General features: G+C 36.9%; 1 annotated feature.

Moving 5' to 3' along the window:
• Positions 855 to 2,054: an enhancer, noted in NCBI's record as "P300/CBP strongly-dependent group 1 enhancer chr18:63326730-63327929 (GRCh37/hg19 assembly coordinates)". NCBI's record gives its function as "activates an origin of replication core promoter dependent on BRD2, BRD4, P300/CBP, MED14 and CDK7 cofactors, with strong dependence on P300/CBP, by STARR-seq in HCT116 cells {active_cell/tissue: HCT116}" and the evidence as "EXISTENCE:reporter gene assay evidence [ECO:0000049][PMID:35650434]".

The raw sequence follows: 4,490 nt of genomic DNA on the forward strand, positions 1-4,490 counted from the left end.
GTTACAGGTTTCCTAAGTATTGCAATATGGTCTGTGCAGAGTATTGAGACAGGGGCCAAACCCAATGGGAGGGATGACTACTGAGACACTGGCAAGGATAAACCAGCATGGGCTCTGAGTGCAGGAATGGAAGGATCCCATTCACATGAGGGATGAAGTTAACCAGGCTGTTCAGAGGACTTGGATTCAATGATTTTAGACCTTCACTCAATGACCAGTTTCTTGATCCACCAACTCAACATTTCCCAGGAAACCTCTCCCTCACCTATCCCCTTTGCAATCTGCCTTATAATTCTTAACATAAAGCTTTTTTATCCAATATACAAAAGCTGAAGGATGGAGGGTGGGAAAGCTAATTTACTTTACAATAGATCTGGAAGGAGTAGGGACCAAAATTATTGCAGCTAAAACTCTAGATCCTCTTTCCTTGAGAGTAAAGAGGGCTCTATTTTCAAAAACTACGAGCAAAGGAAAACGACTCCTTTACTTTTTGGAATGGAGGCGTCATAGACCCTTTGAGAAGGCTGAGTTCTTTCAAGAATGGAAAGACATGAACGGGGGAAAGAGTTATTTCCACATTAACTGAAATTGAATATTCTTATTTTACATTTAAGTAAATATGAATACTATATATATGTATGTTTTGGGTAGCAAAATTGTGTTACACACATTATATTTGGGACTAGAGTTAAACAGAATATGGTTTATCCTTTCCAATGGTTTAGAGACCAGTGGAGACATAAATGTGGTCAGAGAAAAGTACAAATTCCAGGAAGAAATGATTAATACCAAATGCCACAAAGATGTCAAATAAAGTGAAGATTTAAAATGATCTACAAAGTTTTAAGTCAGAAGGTCAGTATGATTTTTCTGTGGTGATGATGACTAAAGCCACTTTGCTGTGGCTAGAAGAATTAATAGGGAGGTAAGAATTTGGAAATCAGAATTACAGATTATACTTTCAGGAAGCAAAACAGAAAGAAATGAAAAGAATGCAGCTAACAATGGGACAGGAAGACAATGAATGTTTGAAGGAAAATTTATTTTCTTAACTTTATAGTTATTGAACCAATAGGGATAGATAAGTTAGAAATAACAAAAATAAATTGTACAATTAGTGGAAAAAAGTGACAAACAGGCAATGGATTGAATTCAGGAAATCAGTGAGGGGATTAATCTTATGTAGGAGATTGGGTAGTGCTTCCTCTGAGAAAAGGAGAAAGGTAAGGCTGGGTTGGAATGCAGGTAATTTCTCTGGACACAGAACATTCAACCAAGAGGCTGTTATTGCCTCTATGAGAGAAGGCACTTTACCTCTTTAGCTACCACCCTGACATAAGCCATCATCACCTCTCACCTGGACTATTGCAATTGTCTCATACCAACCTACTCACTTTTAACCTCATCTCCTCTCACACATTTCTCATTGCCACACCCAGAGTAATATTACAATTTACTTTTGGTCATATTACTCACCCTGAACAAAACCCTCCAGATACTTGACATAAATGCCACAATACTCATGGTGACCTATTTGATTAGCCAATGTTCAGCCCCACACCCACCCTTGCTCTCAAATTCCCTGACTCATCTACATCTCTCTCTCTGGATCTCTGGCTTCAGCCACAATGGCCTTTCCGAAGGCCACTATGTGTGCTCCAGTATTGCTCAGAACTTTCCATTTGATGTTCCCGTAAACAGGAAGGCTCTTCCCAAGAAGCCATGCTCAGCTTCTTCACTTCCTTCAGATGCTACAACACAGTGAGACCTTTTCAAGTGAAGATCCTAAAAATTTCACAATGTTCCCCTCTTGACATTTTTTATCCCCATTTCCTGAATCCCATTTTCGATTCAGACTGACCACTTGAATTCCGTACCATTGTCTGACTCCATCAGGAGAGAGTACTGATTTTAATCTGCTATTCACTGCTTCATTCTCAACTCCTAAACTGGCGATTGACGTAGTAGATACTCAATGCGCATTTACTCAATAAATTGTAATAAGTAATTGAGCACTGAGTCCATTGGGGACAAGTTAAAGGCCATCTAAGAAGTACTGATGGTCATTTTAGGCTAAAAATTGATTTGGTTAAAAATGGACATATTAGGTTAGAACATTTTTCAAGGAAGACACAACAAGTTCAAGGCTCCAGAGTTGACAGTAAAGGACATATATGGATTGCCATGTGTAAATCAGCACTGCTCAACAGAAATATAATGCAAACAACAAATGCAAGCCACATGTGTAATTTTACATGTTCTAGTAACCATGTAAAAATAGATTTAAAAAAAGAGAAAAGGTAATGTTAACTTAAAAATTATATTCTATATGCTATTGATTTCAATTATCCAAAATTTTATTTCAACATAAATATTATAAATATTTATTATAAAATATTTATTTTTATACAATCTTTATTATAATAAATTCCTATTATAAAGTATTACTAATTTGATCTTATATTTTTCCATACCAAATCATCAAACTCTACTGCATTTTTCACACATTTAACAAACATTACTTGTACTCAGTAGACCATGTGGATAGTGGCTACCATCTCAGACAGTGTAAATTTGGATAAATGTAGAGTTGAAAATGGCTTGGTTCTGACTGAAAGATATTGAGGAAATTGAGTGTGAAAATAAGACATTTGTTGAAATAATATAACAAGAAGTCAGTTGCATCAGTAGGAGAAATGAATATGAGGAAAGTAGATTGCGGACAGAGTTCTAAATTATGTCAAAGGACAAATTCAGTGGAATTATGAGAGTGTAACATCTTAAAGAAAGGGTTTTGTGATCAGAGATTGCATGAAACGTGAGATGGCAATGAAGGTTGTTACAGTTAAACACTTTAATTGGGCAGCAGCAGCAGTTTAGAAAAAGGGCAGTTGGGCAAGGAGACTGAAGCCAATGTTCTCAGAGAATGTGAGTGACAGGTCAATAAATGACAGCAATGAAGTCCAGATGGTGATAGCTGGAATGCCTGACACCAAAAAGAGAAGACCTTAGCACAAGGGTGAAATAATGGATCTTTTAATACATTTAATGTGGGCTCTAGAGATGGCTAAGAAAAGTCATCAACATGGGGAGGGGAGAATGATGAGAAAGAGGTCAGAGGGCAATAATAGGAAACATATTTGAATGGAAAATAGGCTGCTGGAACAGCAAAGGGAAGCTCATGTTTTCCCAGTTAAAAGAGCAAAACATACCTATTGAGGATCCAGTTAAATCAGAAGATGTGTCCTGGCTATAAAGCAGAATTTTTCTTCAAGTAAGCTAGCATAGACACACTACCCTAATCTTCTAACATCATATGGCTCATCCTGAGGGACCCAGATAATAGTTCTTTGTTAGCCAAGATAAACTGCTTAAATCTAAGAAGTGATATCAAGGCAACTCCTTCTGATAATTCACAGTATATTCACTATTCCTGATGGCCCTTCTATATTAATGAATTCAGAAGCTTCTTTAGAAGGGTGAAGAAGGAAATAAAGGAGGCCCTAACTGAGTCCTGGGTCTCAAAAGAATGTATCTGAGACTTTGTAAAATAAATCTTAAAAACTTAAAGAAAGGAATAAAGTCAGTATTCATGTGAAAATATATTATTTAGCCCAATAAAGACTGAACTAGTCGCACAAATACTCCTAAACAATTCATTAAACTTTGGCATTATTTAGTATTCATTCAACAAATATTTAGTGGATTTTAGCATACTACAAAGTTCTTAAGATAAAGCAATGGAAAAGTTAATCTTTCTTGAAGAGTTTCAAATTAAAACAGGAGGCTGAAAATCAGCTAAGAAATTATAATAGGATATGGAGGGGCTTTTATGCACTATCTTAACTTGTGGATGGGAGATTTGTAGAAATACAACATCATCTCATGCAACATACAGTCATTCACCAAGTAACTGACACATCATAGAGTTTATAGAGCATGAGAACACAGAAGAGAAAACCATGTAACACACCATTGCAGCACAACCATAATGTTCCCTAGACCCCCTCTTCACTTATTCACACACTCTCTGAAAATCCGAGTTTTTCTATTTCTCTCTGCAAGACAGTTATAACTTAACAGAAGTAGTTCTCAAGCTTGGCTGCACATTACAATGACTTGCGTAACTTTTACAAAAGACCTTTGCAGAGGTCACACCCCAGGCCAGTTAAATCTGAGTCTCTTGGGATGAGATTCCTGCATCAGTCTTTTTTTTTACAGTTTCCCGGGTGGTTCCACATGCAGACAGGTTGTGCACCACTGCCTAGAACATTCAGTAAACCCAAACTCGGCCTAATTCAAAACATGACTTCTTGGCCTCAAGCATGACCTCTTTAAAGAGCTTAAATTATGGCTTTTCTCATGCAATCCAGGTCAAATTCTGTAGTGTTCTGAAGGCAATTAACTAAGAAAGAGAATCTTAGAGATTTCAGACTGGGAAGGATCAAGGATAGTCCCACAGTTTCTGGCATGAATCGGTGGTAAAAGCT

The sequence above is a fragment of the Homo sapiens genome, chromosome 18 (assembly GCF_000001405.40).
Source record: "Homo sapiens chromosome 18, GRCh38.p14 Primary Assembly".
In the NCBI taxonomy this organism is placed as follows: Eukaryota; Metazoa; Chordata; class Mammalia; order Primates; family Hominidae; genus Homo; species Homo sapiens.